We start from the raw sequence: 20,137 nt of genomic DNA on the forward strand, positions 1-20,137 counted from the left end.
GAAGCATGGGTGAGACTTGTATGATCAAAATTACACAATGCTGATGAAAGAAATCAAATAACTAAATAAAGATACTATGTTCATGAATTGAAGACTCAACATAATAAAAATGTCACTGTCAATTCTTTCCAAACTAATACAAAGATTTAACACAATTCCTATAAAAACTCTAGCAGGAGGCCAGGCGCAGAGGCTCACGCCTGTAATCCCAGCACTTTGGGAGGCCGAGGCGGGCAGATCAGAGACCATCCTGGTCACGAGGTCAGGAGATCGAGACCATCCTGGCTAACATGGTGAAACCCCGTCTCTACTAAAAATACAAAAAATTAGCCGGGCGTGGTAGCAGGTGCCTGTAGTCCCAGCTACTCGGGAGGCTGAGGCAGGAGAATGGCATGAACCCAGGAGGTGGAGGTTGCCGTGAGCCAAGATCACGCCACTGCACTCCAGCCTGGGTGACAGAGACCTCCGTCTCAAAAAACAAAACAAAACAAAACTCTAGCAGGATATTTGTAGATACAGATTAAAAATTAAATTTTAGGCAAGAATATTCTAAAATTTATATGGAAAAACAAATAAATTAGAATAGCTAATGCAATTTTGAAAAAAGAATAAAATGGGAGGAATCAGTCCACCAGATTTCAAGACTTACTAGATAGCTACAGTAATCAAGGCTATGTAATAATAGCATAAGGATAGACACATATATCAATGGAACAGACTGGAAAATCCAGAAACAGACTTACACAAACATGTTCAACTCACTTTTGACAAAGGTACAAAAGCAAATCAATGGAGAAAAGATGGCTTTTTCAACAAATGGTGGTGGCACAATTGGACATGCATTGCTATAAAAATTAACTTCAACTTAAGACTCATATCTTATACAAGAATTAACTAAAATTGAATATGAAATTAAACTTGAAACCTTCCAACTCAGAAAAAAAAAAGCATAGAAGAAAATCTTTGGGATCTAGGCGTAGGAAAGAGTTTTTAGACATGATACCAAAAACACACCCATAAAAGAAAAATTGATGAATTTGACTTCATCAGAATTTAAAACTTTTGCTCCATGAAAAACTCTGATTAGAGAATGAAAATGTCAGCTAATGATGGGAGAATATATTCGCAAACCACATATTCAAGAGTATAGAATATATAAGGAACTCAAAACTCAATAGTAAGAAAGCATACAATCCAATTAGAACGTGGATGAAATACACGAAGAGATACTTCATTGAAGAAGATAAACAAATTGCACATGAAAATATGCTTAACATCATTAGCCATTAGGGCAATGCAAATTAAAGTCATAGTGAGATGCATCAAATTAAAATAAAAAAATAGCAACTCCAAATGCTGGTGAGGATGCAGAGGAACAGGATCATTGACATATTCCTGATGCATATGGAAAAGTATGTAATTACTTATGAAAACTGTTAAGAAACTAAATATGGAGCTGCCATACCCAGCCATTTTCTCCTGAGCATTTTCCCCAGAGAAATGATACTTTCATTCACACAGAAACTTGCTCATGAATGTTTATAGGAGCTTTATTTGTAATACTCCAAAACTGGAAAAAACCCAGCTACCTTCAATTGGTGAATGGTTAAAGAGAGTGATGCATTCATATGGTGATAAACTATTACTCAGCAATAAAAAGGCACAAACTACAAATAGACAAAGAATTATGATGGGTGAAAAAAGCCAATCCCCAAATATTACATACTTTATGATTCCATATACGCAATATCCTTGAAATGATGAAATTACACAAGTGGAGAACAGACTAGTGGTTATCAGGAATTAAGGAGAAGATAGGGTGGGAGGAAAATGAATATGGTTATAAAAGTGAAACATGAAAAATCTTTGTGGTAATGAAACAATATGTAGCTTGACTTTATTGATGTCAAGGTCCTAGTTGTAACATTGTACTATAGTTTTACACAAATGCTACCATTGCAGGCAAATGCATAAAGAGTACACAGGATCTCTCTGTGCTATTTCTTACAACTGCATGTCAATCTACAATTATCTCAAAATAAAAAGTTTAAGTTAAAAAGTTAGCATACTTCAATCTCCAGATCTAAAAACTGAGTGAACTCAAAGCAGGATAAATACAAAGAAAACCAAGCCACAAATCATAGTCAGCTATTTGATTGAAAACCAGAGATTAAGAATGAAAATTAAAAGCAGCCAGAGGAAAAAAAAATCCACTGAAAACATATTACCACAAATTGAATCACAACTAACTTCTCACCAGAAATATGTAAGCTTAAAGACAATGAAATGATATCTTTTATGTGTTAAAAAAAATGGGCCAACAGAATTCTGTATCTAGCAAAAACATCTTTTAAAAGGAAAGCAGAATTCTGCCCTTCGAGTGAAGGTGGTGTGATAGGCAGAATTCTATCATGAACCCAATAATCTCGGTCCCACGGTGTTATTGTCCATATTGTCTCCTTCCTTTGGGTGCCCAGAGGTGATGCTAGTGGCTAAGGAGTCAGGTGCTTGTGTGTAGATGAGTTCATGGGGCGCTTTCCGAAGGCAGGTTTCTACATTTATAAACAGTGAGCTACACCCTTGCCTAATCCTCTTGCCTTGAATATGACTGAAGTCTGTGACTTTTTACTAGCTAATAGATATGGCAAAGGTGATGGGATGCCCCTACTGAGATTAGATTACTGTGTGTGTATGTGCTTATAAACATACATATATATGTTTGCATACATGCATACACATATATCTCTCAATGGTCTCTCTCTCTTTCTCTCTCTACTCTCTCTCTCTCTCCTAGTGTGCATGAGAGAGACTCTTCTTTTTGGCCTTAAAGAAGCAAACTGCCACATTGAGAACTGCCTATGGAGAGACCTACATGGCAGCAAACTGCCTATGGCCTCTAGAAAATGGAAACTTCAGTCCTACAAACTCAGGCATCTGAATTCTGCCAACAGTTACCTAAGCTTGGAAGAGGATCCTGAGCTCCATTAGAAGACATGAACCAGGCAATACCTCAATTACGGCTTTGTGGGACCCAACTAAGACATGCCCAAACTCCTGATGCACAGAAACTTTGAGATAATAAATGTGTAGGGTTTCTTTCAAGATGGCTGAATAGGAGATAATAAATGTGTGTTGTTTTAGTTGGCCAAATTGTGGTATTTGTTATAGAACAATAGGTAACTAACACAGGTGGAGAGATTTGATTGGAATAGCCTTCCTTCATATAACAATTATATTGGGAGGCCGAGGCAGGTGGATCACCTGAGGTCAGGAGTTTGGGACCAACCTGGCCAACATGGTGAAACCCTGTCTCTACTAAAAATATAAAAATCAGCCCAGTGTGGTGGTGTGTGCCTGTAATCCCAGCTACTTGGGAGTCTGAGGCAGGGAGAATCGCTTGAACCCAGGAGGCAGAGGTTGCAGTGAGCCAAGATTTTACCATTTGCACTCTAGCCTAGGCAACAGAGTGAGACTCCATCTCAAAAAAAAAAAAAAAAAATTATAAAACCTAGACAAAATATTTTTTTAATCACCATAAAACAAGCTAACTATACCTCAAAGCATTGATATCTACAAAGTATGTTTTCTGACCACAATGATATTTAGTTAGAAATAATACCAATAAGACAATGAGAAAAAATGCCTTATATTTGGAAATTAAACAGTGTATTTCTAAATGATCCATGAGTCAAAAATAAATCAAAAATGAAATCAGAAACTATTTTAAACTGAATGAGGTTAGAATATAACATATCAAAAATTATAGGAGGCAGTTTGCAATGAAATTATATCTGATACTCTTGTAGAAGAAGAAAATTTAAAATCAATTATCTAATTTTTAAACTTAAAAAGCTAGAAAAAGAGGACCAAAGCACACCCCAAGAAAGAAGAATGGAAAGATCACTGTAGAAATCAGTAAAGTGAAAAACAAACATGCTAGGGAGAACAACTTTAAAAATTTAAAAATCAAAATATATTTCCTTAAAAAGGTTAATAAAATTGATAAACCCCTAAGAGCAAATCAATAATAAGAAGAAAAATATATTATAGAGGAGAAGAGATCCCTAAAGATCCTACACACATGGAAAGGATAATAAGGAACTATTTTGAACAGCATAATGTCAATAAATGCAGCAACATAGACGAAATAGATGAATCCCTTAAAAATACAACTTAACAAAACTGACAAAAGCTAAACTACAAAAAGACTCATATTTATTAAAGTAATTGAATTAGTTATGAAAAACCTTTTCACACAGAAATATCCAGGTGCATGTGAATTCTATCAAAAAAAATAAAGCTACTACTCCTTAAAGAAGAAATAATAAAAATTCTATGGAAACTCTTTCAAGTGAAAGAAGAGAATGGGACATGTAATCTACTTATTTTATGATAATAGCATTATGCTGATACCAAACCTGACAAAGGCTTTACAAGAAAATAATATATACACCAATATCCCTTATAAAATTGACTCAAACATACTTAGAAAATATTAGAAAACTGAATGTAGCAATATACTAAAAGAATAATACATCATGACTAAGTAGGATTTAACATTTGAAAATTAATCAAAATAACTCATATTTCTACAGAATAAAGAAAAACCAACTCAACTCAATGGTCAGCTCAATAAATGCATAACATTCTATTCCCATTCATAATAATAACTCTTGGAAAACTAGGATCAGAAGGAAGATTCTTCAATCTTATAAAAGGCAACTATGAAAAACCTACAGCTGGCATCACACTTAGTAGTGAAATATTAAATTATTTTACCATAAGATTAGGAGCAAAGCAAGATGACTCACTCTTACCACTTATGTTCAGCATTACACTGGAGGCCCTAACCAGCTTAATAAGGCAAGAAAAAGAAATAAAATGCATGAAGATTTGAAATTAAAAAGTCAAACTTTTCTATGTATAAGCAATATAGAAAATCATAAGGCGCCAACTCCTCTCTCCCTCAAAAAATCTATGGGAACTATTAAGAGAGTTTAGCAGTATCTCAGGATACATCAAGGCCAACATCCAACTATTAATTACAATTTTATGTACTATCAGCCAACAATTAGAAAACAAAACAAAAGAATATATAAAATTCCATTTACAATAGTGTCATAAAGCGTTAAAAAAATTGGGAACAAATTTAACCAAAGATAGACAAGATTTCTCTTCTCAAAGCTACAAATCTCCAGAGAGAAATTTGAAAAGGCCTAAATATATGAGGAAATATGCTGTCTTTATAGGTAAAAAGACTTAACATTATTAAGATATCAATTCCGCAGAATTTAATTCAATACCATCGAAATAATAATCCCACCAGGATTTTTAAATAGAAATTTGCATGCTGTGTCTATAATTCTTATGAAAATGTAAAGAACCTGGAATAATCAAATGAATCTTCAAAAAGAATAAAATTGGAGGGCTTACACTATGTGACTTTAAGATTAGTGTAGTGCTAAATCACGAAGAGAGTGTGGTATTTGCATAGGTATAGACAAATCAATCAACAGGACAAAATGCAGTCCAGAAATAAATCCTTTTGTATGATCAATTGTTTGTTTCTTTTTGTTTTTTTGGTTTTTGTCTGTTCATTTGTTTCTGAGACAGGGTCTTACTCCAGCACCCAGGCTGGAGTTCAGTGGCATGATCACGGCTCACTAAAGCCTTGACTTCATGGGCTCAGTGACCCTTCCACCTCAGCAGCTGAGACTACAGGTGCACACCACCACGCCCAGCTGATTCTTGTTTTTTTTTTTTTTTTTTTTCGTAAAGATGGGGTTTCGCCATGTTGTCCAGGCTGTTCTCTCACTCCTGAGCTCAAGCAATCAGCCCACCTCAGCCTCCCAAAGTGCTGGGTTTACAGGCGTGAGCCACTGCACCCAGACTTTATGTGATCAATTGATTTTCATTGAAAGTACAAAGCAGTTCAATAGGGAAAGGAAAGTCCATTCAACAAATGAGGCTGGAACTAATAGATATCCATAGAAGCCTAGATTCTTACCTCATGCTATATACAAAATTAATGTGAGATAGATTATAGATCCAAACATATTAATAAAAGCCAAAAAGATAAATCTTCTAATAGAAAACATAGAAGAAAATCTTCACAACCTTGTGATAAGCAAAGATTTTCTGGAAAAAGGCAGAAGTCACAAACCATTAAAGAAAAAATAATAATAAATTATACGTCATCAGAATAAAAATCTTCTATTCATCAGAAGATACTATTTCAAAAAGTTAAGTCATAGAGAAAAATAATTGGGTGAGTATATATGTATATATGAGATATATACATACACACATATATACACATATGTATACATATATACATACATATATCTATATACACATATATAGATATATATGTATACATATATACATACATACAGATATATATACACACATATATACACACATATATATGTGTGTGCGTGTATATATATATATATACACTCACAGTCATCCTTTGGTATTCATGGGGGACTGGTTCCAGGACCCGCTTATGACGCCAAAATTTAAGGATGGTCAAGTCCCTGATATAAAATGGTATAATATATGTATATAATCTGTGTACGTTCTCCTGTATACTTTAAATCATCTCTAGATTACTTGTAATATTTAGCACAATGTAAATTCTCTGTAAATAGTTGTTATATTGTATTATTTCAGCAATAATGACGAGAAAAAGTCTGTACATGTTCAGTACAGATGCATTTTTTTAATATTTTTGATCCATGAATGGTTGAATTTATGAATGTAGAATTATATGTCTATAAAATACAGATTTGATATAGGAGTCCCATTTAGAATATACAAACTCAATAATGGAAAAAAATTAATGGGCAAAAGACATGAACAAACATTTCACCAAAAAGGATATAGAAATGTCCTATAAGCATGTGAAAAAATGCTCAACTGATATTAGGAAACACATAAATGAAAATTAAAATTATAATGAGATACCACTGCACAAGAATGGCTAAAGTTAAATCAACTGATAACATGACAGGATGAGGATGAAGGTGAAGATGAAAAGCAACTAAAACACTCAAACACTCCTGGTGTCAATGTTAAAAGTAACCACTTATAAAACTTAAAAATTCACTTATTTATTGATCTAGCAATTCCACTCCCTGGTTTTTGTACAAGAGAAATAAAGTCAACTGTCCACCAAAACTTACAAAAAAAAAAGTCCATAGCAGCCTTATTCTTAATTGCTAAAAACTTGAAACAACCCAAATATTCATCAATGAAAGAATGAATGTAAATTTTGTGCTAAATTTCTACAGTGGCACATGAGTACACAGTAAAAAGGAACAAACTACTGATAGAAACAACACAGATAAATTTTACACACATTATGTTGAGAAAAAAAAAGCCAAGTACACACACACACACACACACACACACACACACACACGATGTACTGTATAATTACATTTATATAAAATACAAGAAAATGATAAAAGGAATCTTTGTGATAGAAGTTTAAAAGTGGTTGATTGAACCAGACATTTAAAATCTGTGTAATTTATCGTCTGTAAATGATACCTCAATTAAAAAGAAGCCAAAATAAGATAAAATTTTCGATGGACTATATTTTATATTTTCTCCAACATAATGTTTTATGTCATTGTGTTGCTAATAGCTTAAGCATAATCTATTTGAAATCGCTAACAATAATTGATGAAAATTTATTTTTCAAATTGTCTTGGTGGTTGCAATTTTATCTCCACCACCCTCCCTTCTTGTCTGATGGGAATAGATTGTCACTGTTTTGAGGAGGAGGTGAAATGCTGCCTCTGCCTCCTTGGGGTTTTTTGTGTGTGTGCTTGCTTTCATAGTATTGTCTTCAGTACAAGTTAGTTTCTTTACAGGAATTTTTTCAAGGGGCTTGCTCATTTTTGTGAAGTTTAATATAGTTAAAAGCAATTTAAATGACTATAATATTAATACAACTGAGCACAGGAAACCCCCAGTGAGTCAGAATGTGGCAAAAACAACAAATAAGTGAGGGTCTTGTCAAACTGTTTTGTTGTGAACCCCTGCATCTCCCCATGGGGACACCTCTCCAAGTATTAGTGACAGTGAGAGACCTCTACCTGTCTCACACAGGTACCTACTGAGGACTCTAGTACTAAAGAGTATATTAAAAATGAGCAAAGTTTATTTCATTCTTAGAAAAATAAATATACATCAAGGGTCTTCCTATACCCAGTGAGCCACCTATGTGTCCACTTCGGTACCCCGCTGTGTCTTCTCACCTGTTCCCCTCTTTATGACTATTTAGCTTTCAGGTCTCAGATGCCACTTCTCTGGCAAATTTCTCTGACCTTTTAGAACTGAGTTAGGTGCCTAAGAGCCTTTGTACATGAAAGCAGGCCATTCTGTGATTCAGACAACAAGGGAAGTATCTCCTTAAAATATTCTTTCCTTACTCAAGAAATTGATATTGCTAATTATGTGCTAGGGACTGCTATAGGCACTGGAGATTCACTAGTGAACCAAAACATCAATAGTCCCCTGCCCTCATAGAGTTGAAGTTCTGGTGGAGCAGACAATTAAAGAATAGGTGACTTGGTGATAAGTATAAAGGAGAAAAAATAAACAAGAAAAGCAGGTATGAAATACCAGATTGTATGGGGTTGACAGTGAACATTTAGTGGCCAAGGAGCACCCCACTCAGAATGTGACCTTGAGCCAAGAACCAAAGGAGCCCATGTGAATATCTTCAGGAAAATTCCAAGAAGAGGAAGGCTCGGTCTTGCTGAGGGAGAAAGGACAAAAGCAGGAAGAGAAGTGGACAGGTACAAGATCTTTTCTGGAGTCAGTATCCATGAATCTTTCTTGCTTGGGTTAGCTGTGAGGAATACCAGGATAAGGAAAAGGAGGGCTCAAGGAAGACTTCCAAGTGTCTGCTTTCAGCTAGTAGGTAAATAATGGTGCCACTTACGAAAATAGGAGACAGTGGAGGAAGAGCAGGTGAAGTGGGGTGGCACACTGGGTCAAGAGGTCATATTTGATACGATAAATTTGAATTATTAGGTATATAGTGCTCACCTATTTTAAATTTGAGGGTACGCAGGCTCAGAGAGCATAATTTACTTGTGATAGCAGGCTGTGCTTGCTGCCTCTTTGTAATGTGATTTTTCAAAACATCCAATCAAGACCAGTTTATTTTTGTGCCCCTTGAATGTGAGCTTAGATGTGTGACCTGCTTTGGCCACAGAGGACATGAGCAAATGTGACATGAGCTGAGGCATAAAATGGCTGGACAATCCCATGACCACCACCATGGAGAACAAGCTGGGGCTAACTGGCTGGGTGATGAGAGTCACGTGGCCAAGGTCCTCCAGGTGACATCATTCCAACAGCCAGACACATGAGCGAGGCTACCCTGAATAATCCAGCTCCATTAGAGCCATCCCAGAATGTGAGAAATAAAAAAAAAAAAAAAACAATTCATTTGTATTATTAAATCTCATAAGCAAAACCTAACTGATACACTTGCATGAGACTCAGAAAGGATGAGTGGCCATGTCAGGAACTGGCCTTCCTTCTTCTAAGTTAACTGCTTTTCCAATACTCCAAGGTAAGACCATTTATATATTAGTTAGCAGAATCAGAACCAGGAGCACCCTAAGGCTGTGTCCCCTAAGCTGCTGTCTTAAAGCAACTGTGCTTTAAAACCTACTCTATTTGTTAATGTTCAACATGCCTCTCTCATTCTCTCTCTCTCCCTGCCACCCCCCCGCCCCTCCCCAACCCCCTTGATCAGACAATGTTGCTGTAAAAGCAACCAACAGAAATCCAATTCAGTCTCTGGGGAAATTTATAGAAAAAAAAAAATCTTGCTATGCCAGTGCTTTTTCCATGGCAATATGAAGCATATGGGATCTCAGAAGAAGCATCTATCACAATATGTTGCATTGCAGTGCAGGAATTGGCATTTTCTCCAATTCCTCAAAGCATAGTTAAGAGCAAAATAAATGTAAAGATATGAGGTTCAGGCTATTGCTGACATGCTCTCCCTTTCAAAGCATTGTAGTGGTATAGGAGAAGAAAAAGAAAAATCATAAACTAAAGCCCCCCAATGTAGCTAACTTTCAGTCCCAGAAGTCTCTGAACTAAAACTGAAACCCAAAGCATATTCAAAGTTGTAAATAGGATCAAGGAGTTCAGCCACTGCAGCCCAAATTACACACAAGGATGACAGGATAACATTCTGGGGCCCTAGATAGAATGGAAAAGAGGATACAACTACCCAGCCTGGCCTGAAAAATGCAGAGTCCAGAGCTCTACTCCTGCCTTCCTACCATGTTCCTGCATGACTCTGGATAAGTCATGTCATAACCAGAGAGGTATGACCCTAAGAGTCATCATTCACCAGGAACACTTTAGCACAGGAATCACTGTTTAAACCTAAGGGTGAGCAGGTTCAGGACTAGGGATGGCGCTCCAGACACAATCCCCCAAGACATGGCACCTTGACATCGGAGAGAACAGCAGAAGCAGGGAGGTCACTCTGACCCTTTCCTGCCTTTCTTCCCTGAAGCGTGCCATAAAAGGATTCTCTGACCTTCCTCTGAAATAGATCACAAGACCCTCATGTGAGAGGTGCCCTCCCTATACCTGGAGGACGGGAACATCCTTCCCTCTGAAGTCACAGGGACGCAGAGAAAAATCTGAACCAACAGACCTTTCTAAGTTCTCCCCAGTTTGTTACTGTTAAACCATACTCCTTTTGTCCAATTATATTTCTCCACAACTTGTCCACTCTCCATCAAATCAAAGCATAAAAATACACAGGTTTCGTTGTTTCTTTGATCTTCATTTCTGAAGGCTCCTGTGACATGTAAGACTTATTAAATACATTTGTGTGATTTTTCTCGTGTTAATCTGTTTTTATTTTTTAATAGGGGCCTCGGCCACAAACCTAGTGATGGGTGAGGAAAGAAATGTTTCCTGCCCTACACTAGGAAGGGTCTCCTGGACTACTGAGAACAGAAGGAACTGGGGCATCCTGAGTTAGCCAGGGAACAAAAGGAGCATGATGTTGGGTGCTTGGAGTTTAGATGCCGAGAAGGAGTAGGGCTGTGGAATACGGAGGGGAGCTTTACTGCAGGTTGCACCACTTAGCAGTGGGTGCCTCTCATTATATCCACATCCCCAGTGCCAGGTCCTTTTAACTCATGCCATTTGATTAAACCTGGCCATAACAGTGGGGTTAAGGGTGACTACTGGAGCCCTTGTAGTATCAGTGAGGAAACTGAGATGAAAGGAGTTACATGACTTATCCCAGTCCCATGGCCAGTAAGTGATGCAGCTTAGACGTAAACCCAGGTCTTTTGGTCTCTGAATCCCGTGCTTTTATCATTTTAATCTTCCTGGAATATAAAACTTCAAAATAATGCTTATGCACGAGAATTGCTTGAACCAGGGAGGCAGAGGTTGCAGTGAGCTGAGATTCTGCCACTGTACTCCAGCCTGGGGAGCAGAGCAAGACTCTGTCTCAATAATAACAATAAAAAAAATAATAATAATGCCTATGAACATATTCCAGAATATTATAGAACAGATAACTTCGTGCTCACTGGCAGAAAAATAAACTATAGTTCATTATAATACATAATTTTAAGTGATGAAATGAATTATTTCTGTTTTTGCTCCTGTAAATGGATTTAATGTAAGTTTTACATGACACAGGAGCCTATATAAGTGACTGAAGACTCACACAAACAGGAAAACCTGTGTATTTTTATGTTAAGTTTGATGAAAAGAAGAAAGTCATGGAGAAATTTAACTGGAAACAGAGGATTCCATCTAGTGGTAATAAACTGGGGCAAGGGAGAGGGCTTAGCACGGCCTGTTTGTTCAGATTCTTCTGTGTCCTGTGTCTTCAGAGATAAGGATGTTTCTTGTTTCCAAGTATAGAGGAGGCCCCTCTGGAATGAGGATTTTACGACCTATAGCAGGGCAGGAGAACATCAGGGTTTATGACCTGCTTCGTGGGAGAAAAGTGAGGGGAAGGGGAGAGTGACTGATATGGTTTGGCTGTGACCTCACCAAAATTTCATCTTGAATTGTAGTTTCCATAATCCCCACATGTCATGGGAGGGACCCAATGGGAGGTAATGGAATCAAGGGGGTTGGTTTTTCCCGTGTTCTCGTGATAGCAAATGAGTCTCATGAGATCTGATAGTTTTACAAAGGGCAGTTCCCCTGCACACACTCTCTTGCCTGTCATCATCTAAGACATGACTTTGCTCCTCCTTTACCTTCTGCCATGATTGTGCGGCCTCCCCAGCCATGTGGAACTGTGAGTCCATTAAACCTCTTTTTCTTTATAAATTGCCTGGTCTTGGGTATGTCTTTATTAGCAGTGTGAGAACAGACTAATACAGTGATCTTCCTGCTTCTGCTGTTTCCTGCAATGCCAAGGTGCTATATTTTGGGGTAATGTGTCCTGAATCTCATTACTTCCTTCAAATGAGTCTCACACGGTTTGCCTTTCCTCTCCTAATCCTGTTATTAAGAGTGGGAGAAGCAAAATAGTAGTGCTTGGGAGTGCAAGGGCCAAGAATATTAGATTCTGCTTGGTCATCACAGTATTAAACATCTTCACAATGCATGGAACACACCGCCTTACTGCATCCCAGTAATCTCCAAGATTCTATACACTGGGAGAGAGGAAGAACCCAGAAATGGCTCTGGGATTGGAAATAATTTTACAGAGAAGCCCGTCCCTGCCTTTAAATCACTTAATCAAAGTTATTTTCCTAAAATTGTAATTAATATTTGAAATTAGATTATTTAATTCCACTTGTGTGTGTGTTTTATGTGCCTCAAATTAAATTAAAATCAACAGAAACATTTCTTGAAATGGAAAGGCTAGAAAGCCAAGAATTTTTCCAAGCTAAAATAGTTATTTAATTTGTATCCTCTAGGTGGGACCCATATACAAGACGACCAATGAGATAAAAGCACTGATGGTTATTAAAGCCCAATCCAGATATAAAGAGCATTCCCTACTATGTGTCAGGCATCCTGCTGGATGCTGGCAAGGTAGGCAGGATGGAGGGTTGTTAAACGAGGAAGTGGCTGCCAGGAGTTTCTGGAACAGATAAGCATATAAATATCACATGAGTTTAGTGGCAGGTCCTAAGAAATGTTTTACTAGGGAGTTTTTAAAAGGAAAAACATAGCGAACCCCACCTTCACCACTTAACAGACCTGCAACTTCAAGCAACTTACCCTCCCTCGGGCTCAGTTTCCTCCTCTGAACATTGGGGATAATGTTTCTCACTTGGCAGGGGAATTTGAGGAAATGAGATCATGCTGTTTCCCAAACTCACCTCTTCTTAAGGATCATTTGGAGGAGCCTGTCCAAATATAAATTCTCAGAACACTTTCTGGAACTTTCTGGGGCCAGGATTCTGCTTTCAACAAGCATCCCAGCAGGGACATAACCAAGGAAAGGGGTTAAGGCTTTGTCCCAATTCCCTTCACCCAGTTCCACCCCGATCACTCCAAATCCACATGCACTATTTTACTTCTTTTTATTTATTCTTATTTTTAACTCTTCACTATGAAATTATTTTAGACTTGCAAATATTTGTAAAAATAGTATAATGAATTGCCTTATACTCCTCACTCAGCTTCCTCAAATACTAAAAGCTTACATATCCACAATTCAATGATCAAAATCAGGATGTTAACATTAATACAATATCATTAATTAACAAACCTTATTTAAATATCACCCAATGTTCCACTAATGTCTTTTTCTGGTCAAGGATCCAAGCCAGGCAAATGCAAATAACCTAACTAAGGCATGTTTGCTAGGCAAATGCCTTATCTAGACAAGTCTCCAACTGCTCCCAGCCCCTTCCACCTGGATGCTCCAGAGCTGACACTGCACCCACCGGATCTTATGATCCGGATATTGAAATTAATATTGAAGTCATGATTTTTTATGCTTTTGGCACATGTTAGTCTAATCAGTAGAAGCTAATGCAAACCAAAAATTTACATTTATACGTAAGGAATCAAGAAAAGAGTAAAGAAACGTAGACAGAAGCTTTAGTTGAGAAGCCTTGCACAGAAGCTGCTGGCTCTTGTCCTTGCTCTTTCCATTGAGCGATGCTGTCCCCAGGCATAACCACCTGCCACCACCCTACCTGTCAGTCAAGGTCCATTAAATGAGATGATGCATGGAAAGGATTTAGTTCAATGAGCACATACGGAGGACACAATGAGTGTTGGTTATAATTTGATGTCACTCATTCCAAAGCCACTGGCTTCTTGAAACTTCTGATTCAACACATAAAGCATGATAGGCCCATTTCTAATGCCCATCCTGTTCTTTGAGTCTTTCTTATAGCCCCAGTGGAACACATCCTGATTTATACCGTAGTTATCTCTGTGCTTATCTTACACCCCTACTAGATTGTAAATTCTGATCCTTTTATCCCCCGTGGAGGCTTCTCAGGCATCATACAGATCCCACTGCCAGCAGCTTGCCTCCCAAATGCACTGGGGCATCCAGCCTGCATATCCTCTGATTTAATTTATCACCAAACACTCTAGGCTTTAACTTGTTGTAAGCATCTTCAAATAAAAGCTGCCAGTGTGGTCAAAAAGGGAAGCTCCTGTTCAAAACTAGGCCTCTTATGAGAGTCAAGTTTTTAACCCCCTCTTCAGGAAAGAAGAAAATGCCTCTATTCAGGTGGGCCACTTACTGATTATGAGGACTTCAGAGCAAGGTCTGTATTTTGGGTACCTCATCATGGTACTGACAAGTTGCCTTTAGGTAAAAGAGAGACAAAGAAAGTTTAAGGAGGTCGAGGATGCTTCTAGCACTCTGGGTCTTTGGATCTTCAAAGCACTTTACACAAATCAACTAATGAATACTTCATCACACAGCATGTAGGCTCCCCCAGGAATTGGAAGGCTCTAGGCTTCCATCCTGCAGCCAGAGACTTGAAAGGGGCTGAGTAATTTGCAGTTAACAATTGCATTCACGATTGTGACTCCTAAAAGAGAGACAATCAAGTCTCTTGCCTTTTACCGCCTTTCACTGAGTCCTTGCTAGATGTTTGTTGAAAGACAGAATCACACTGAAGGCAGATGTGACTCTACTTCTGCTGCCCACTTTCCCCAGGTCTAATTAATAGGGGCCAGGCCAACTTCTCCCTAGGAAGTTTTTTTCAGTGCCACACTAGGTCATTCAATGTAAAACATTGAGGGTTATGGGTCTCTTATAGAAATCTGATGAAAACTATGACCCCAGACCCTAGAAAAATCCTAAGTGCACACACATACACACTGGAAACATTTTTATGACTTTTCAGAGTCCCTCTGAAATCCAAATTAAGACTCTCTGCTGTAGGTATTATTGGGAGACAGCAAGCATAAAAGGGATCACCCATGTCCAAGTTTGGGAGCAACAATTTATTCTTCCAAGAATACTTTGTTTCACTGGTTTGAAAGCAACATTTAGAAGTGCAGTTGCCCTTTTTCAGATTAGGCATCAAGAACATATGAATATGTTTCTTTGAAAAATATTAAACAAAATAGGTGCTTTCTGGTTGCGGCCCCTTGCAGTGACTATGGGAACTTGTTTTTCTTCTTAGGTTCATTTAATGACATATTCTCATATTTGAGAAAGTAGAAAAAGAACTGCCTGTCTCCTCAGCAAGTAGATGTGTGACTAGGGAAAACTTTTTTGAAAACTTGCTTGCCAGTGTTGACAGCAATGTTAACTAAATCATCCATAAATACCCCCCACAATCAGAGCTAAACAAATCACGATAGGAAGCCCTATCACCCAGAAACTAATTTCCACCCTACTGAAAGTCAGCAAGGGAAAGTAGTTTGTGCACAACCAGATGGAAAAGAGCCACTTTCTAGGAAAAGTGAGCATTCCAGAATGATGCTGGGGAAGGGCCTGGAAGAGATCAAAAGGGAGTTTGAAGTCCATCTGGAAGTGACTCTTTAAAAACAAGAGCTTGCATTTCAATGGCCAGCCTTGAAGTGCAGGAATCTCAGGTTCCTTCTGCAAAGACCTGTGGTATTCACAAGTGCCCAAATCTTAAAGAAGCTTAGATATATGGGCCAATCACTTTCTGGTAATGTTTCTTGATAGAAAAGAAGAGATTAGAAAGTTTGGAGCTAAGGGAGAAGATTCCATAAATAAAAGCCAAGGACAAAATGTTTTCCACACTTCTCACCAATTGCGTGTAAATTTGCACTTCCACCCCGGTGTCCTTAAATGACTGTGTGATTCAACATCTACACCAGAAACCTTGAAGTTCCAGTCCATGATTCTTAGTTAAGATAACCAGCCAGGAGGGCTAATATGCTTCCTGGGTTTCTTGTCAAGTATCCTGGATTTTTTCTCTTGAACCATTCTTTCTTTCCTGGTTGAAAGTTACCTGAATCCCATCCCTACATCCAGTTCTATCTGCTCTTTGCACAACTAAAATGGTCAAGTGTAAATGTCAGCTCATTCACATTTAAGTGTTCAGCTCATCTGTTTGCCCAGGTCAGCCTTGGGAACCCCTCATCTCTGCAGCACAGTGAGGTTGTAGGTCAAGGTCCTCCCACACCCTGAATTTGGGAGTCCTGGCATCAGATTTGTGTTTAGATCCTGGCTCTGCCACCTCCTGGCTTTGTGAGGTAGACAGCTTACTTGAACTCCTTGATTCTTCATTACTTCATCTGTAAAATGGGCCACATGCCCATTTCATCAATTTGTGGTGAGGATTAAATAAAATGTTAAAGTTCATGTAAGTTCATCTGCCTCATTCCATGAAGGGTTTTCAGTGGTACACCCACACAAACACACATTGAAATGAAAGAAAGGAGGGAGGGAAGGAAGGAAGGAAGGAAGGAAGGAGAGAAATAAACCAATTAAAATAAAGAATACTAGAGGTTTAATAAAATATTTATTCTTATTAATAAAAGTTATGTTTGCCATGTGCGGTGGCTCACGCCTGTAATCCCAGCACTTTGGGAGGCCGAGGCAGGCGGATGACGAGGTCAGGAGTTCAAGACTAGCCTGACCAATATGGTGAAACCCCATCTCTACTAAAAATACAAATATTAGCCAGGGGTGGTAGTGCAAGCCTGTAATCCTGTCTACTCGGGAGGCTGAGGCAGAACAATCCCTTGAACCTGGGAGGCGGAGGTTGCAGTGAGCCACAATCATGCCACTGAACTCCAGAGTGAGACTCCATCTCAAAAAAAAAAAAAAAAAAGTGGCATGTTCAGTGATATATAGTCATTTTTAAACTTGAGGTTTCTGGAGTGTGTTTTATTTTAAGAACTTTTTTTTAACCTCAGAACAAATGTACAAAACTTAAAGAAAACACAAGATATGAATTTTTCAACCTACTTTTCAATTTCAATTAGTTTCTGTCCCTGGACAGGAATGGCTTTCCTATAACTAGATGGTGATGTTGCTAGCACTCTATCCCAGGTCCCTTTCCTGGACAGGAAGTTGAGGCATCACCGGCCTGGTTTTACCTCCAGGATGACAACACTCACATCAAGGTGTTAGAGGCATTTGAATCAGAACAACTCCATCTTGAATAGGAGCTGGGTACTAGGTTTTCCCAGAAGGTGAAGCATTCTAAGTAACAGGATGAGAGGAGGTAAGCACAAGATACAGGTCATAAAGACCTTGCTGATAAGACAGATTGCAGTAAACAAGCCGGTCAAAACCCAACAAAAGCAAGATGGCAATGAGAGTGACCTCTGGTCGTCCTCACTGCTACACTCCCACCCATGACAGTTTACAAATGCCATAGCAACATCAGGAAGATACCCTATATGGCCTAAAAAGGAGGGGCATGAATAATCCATTCCTTGTTTAGCATATCATCAGAAAATAACCATAAAAATGGGCAACCAGCAGCCCTCGGGGATGCTCTGTCTATGGAGTAGCCATTCTTTTATTTCTTTACTTTCTTAATATACTTGCTTTCACTTTAGTTTATGGACTGCCCTGAATTCTTTCCTGTGCAAGATCCATGAGCTTTCTTTTGGAGTCTGGATCTGGGCCCTGTCAGGCCTCTGAGCCCAAGCCAAGCCATCGCATCCCGTGACTTGCACGTATATACGCCCAGATGGCCTGAAGTAACTGAAGAATCACAAAAGAAGTGAATATGCCCTGCCTCACCTTAACTGATGACATTCCACCACAAAAGAAGTGTAAATGGCCGGTCCTTGCCTTAACTGATGACATTACCTTGTGAAAGTCCTTTTCCTGGCTCATCCTGGCTCAAAAAGCACCCCCACTGAGCACCTTGCGACCCCGCACTCCTGCCCGCCAGAGAACAAACCCCCTTTGACTGTAATTTTCCTTTACCTACCCAAATCCTATAAAACGGCCCCACCCTTATCTCCTTTCACTGACTCTCTTTTCAGACTCAGCCCGCCTGCACCCAGGTTAAATAAACAGCCATGTTGCTCACGCAAAGCCTGTTTGGTGGTCTCTTCACACGGACGCGCATGAAATTTGGTGCCATGACTCGGATCAGGGGACCTCCCTTGGGAGATCAATCCCCTGTCCTCCTGTTCTTTGGTCTATGAAAAAGATCCACCTACGACCTCAGGTCCTCAGACCCACCAGCCCAAGGAACATCTCACCAATTTTAAATCGGGTAAGTGGCCTCTTCTTACTCTCTTCTCCAACCTCTCTCACTATTCCTCAACCACTTTCTCCTTTCCACTCTTTAATCTCTCCCTTCTCTTAATTTCAATTCCTTTCATTTTCTGGTAGAGACAAAGGAGACACATTTTATCTGTGGACCCAAAACTCCGGCGCCAGTCACGGACTGGGAAGGCAGCCTTCCTTTGGTGTTTAATCATTGCAGGGATACCTCTCTGATTATTCACCCACATTTCAGAGGTGTCAGACCCCGCAGGGATGCCTGCCTTGGTCCTTCACCCTTAGAGGCAAGTCCCGCTTTTCTTGGGGATGGGCAAGTACCCCAACCTCGTATCTCTGCGCCCCGATCCCTTATTTCCGTGCCCCGACCTCTTATATCTCTGCGCCCTGATCCCTTATTTCCGTGCCCCAACCTCTTACATCTCTGCGCCCCAATACCTTACTTCCATGCCCCAACTTCGTATCTCTGTGCCCCGACCCCTTTCCTGCTTTTCTGGAGGGTAAGAACCCCTGAACCACTTCCCTCCATGTCTCTACTCTCCCTTTTCTTTAAACTTGCCTCCTTCACTATAGGCAATCTTCCACCCTCCATTCCTCCTTCTTCTCCCTTAGCCAGTGTTCTCAAAAACTTAAAACCTCTTCAACTCACACCTGACCTAAAACCTAAATGTCTTATTTTCTTCTGCAATGCTGCTTGACCCCAATACAAACTCGACAGTAGTTCCAAATAGCCAGAAAACCACACTTTCAATGTTTCCATCCTGCAAGATCTAAATAATTCTTGTCGTAAAATAGGCAAACGGTCTGAGGTGCCTGACGTCCAGGCATTCTTTTACACATCAGTCCCTTCCTAGTCTCTGTGCCCAATGCAACTCATACCAAATCTTCCTCCTTTCCCTCCTGCCTGTCCCCTCAGTCCCAACCCCAAGCGTCACTGAGTCTTTCTAATCTTCCTTTTCTACAGACCCATCTGACATCTCCCCTCCTAGCCTGGCCAAGCTAGGTCCCAATTCTTCCTCAGCCTCCCCTCCTCCACCCTATAACCCTTTTATCACCTCCCCTCCTCACACCTGGTCCCGCTTACAGTTTCGTTCCGCCACTAGCCCTCCCCCACCTGCCCAGCAATTTCCTCTTAAAAAGGTGGCTGGAGCTAAAGGCATAGTCAAGGTTGATGCTCCTTTTTCTTTATCCTACCTCTCCCAAATCAGTAGCGTTTAGGCTCTTTTTCATCAAATATGAAAAACCCAGCCCAGTTCATGGCCCCTTTGGCAGCAACCCTGAGACGCTTTACAGCCCTAGACCCTATAAGGTCAAAAGGTCGTCTTATTCTTAGTATACATTTTATTACCCAATCCGCTCCCAACTTTAAATAAAACTCCAAAAATTAAATTCCAGCCCTCAAACTCCACAACAGGACCTAATTAACCTTGCCTTCCAGGTGTACAATAATAGAAA

At 39.3% G+C, this 20,137-nt stretch overlaps 4 annotated features.

Moving 5' to 3' along the window:
• Positions 14,758-15,503: an enhancer, noted in NCBI's record as "OCT4-NANOG-H3K27ac-H3K4me1 hESC enhancer chr4:16996053-16996798 (GRCh37/hg19 assembly coordinates)". NCBI's record gives its function as "activates a minimal SCP1, AML or CMV promoter by ChIP-STARR-seq in naive and primed H9 embryonic stem cells {active_cell/tissue: H9 hESC(naive and primed)}" and the evidence as "EXISTENCE:reporter gene assay evidence [ECO:0000049][PMID:30033119]".
• Positions 15,504-16,249: an enhancer, noted in NCBI's record as "OCT4-NANOG-H3K27ac hESC enhancer chr4:16996799-16997544 (GRCh37/hg19 assembly coordinates)". NCBI's record gives its function as "activates a minimal SCP1, AML or CMV promoter by ChIP-STARR-seq in primed H9 embryonic stem cells {active_cell/tissue: H9 hESC(primed)}" and the evidence as "EXISTENCE:reporter gene assay evidence [ECO:0000049][PMID:30033119]".
• Positions 17,300-18,121: an enhancer, noted in NCBI's record as "OCT4-NANOG-H3K27ac hESC enhancer chr4:16998595-16999416 (GRCh37/hg19 assembly coordinates)". NCBI's record gives its function as "activates a minimal SCP1, AML or CMV promoter by ChIP-STARR-seq in primed H9 embryonic stem cells {active_cell/tissue: H9 hESC(primed)}" and the evidence as "EXISTENCE:reporter gene assay evidence [ECO:0000049][PMID:30033119]".
• Positions 18,122-18,941: an enhancer, noted in NCBI's record as "OCT4-NANOG-H3K27ac hESC enhancer chr4:16999417-17000236 (GRCh37/hg19 assembly coordinates)". NCBI's record gives its function as "activates a minimal SCP1, AML or CMV promoter by ChIP-STARR-seq in naive and primed H9 embryonic stem cells {active_cell/tissue: H9 hESC(naive and primed)}" and the evidence as "EXISTENCE:reporter gene assay evidence [ECO:0000049][PMID:30033119]".

This window comes from Homo sapiens, chromosome 4 (assembly GCF_000001405.40).
Source record: "Homo sapiens chromosome 4, GRCh38.p14 Primary Assembly".
NCBI lineage: Eukaryota > Metazoa > Chordata > Mammalia > Primates > Hominidae > Homo > Homo sapiens.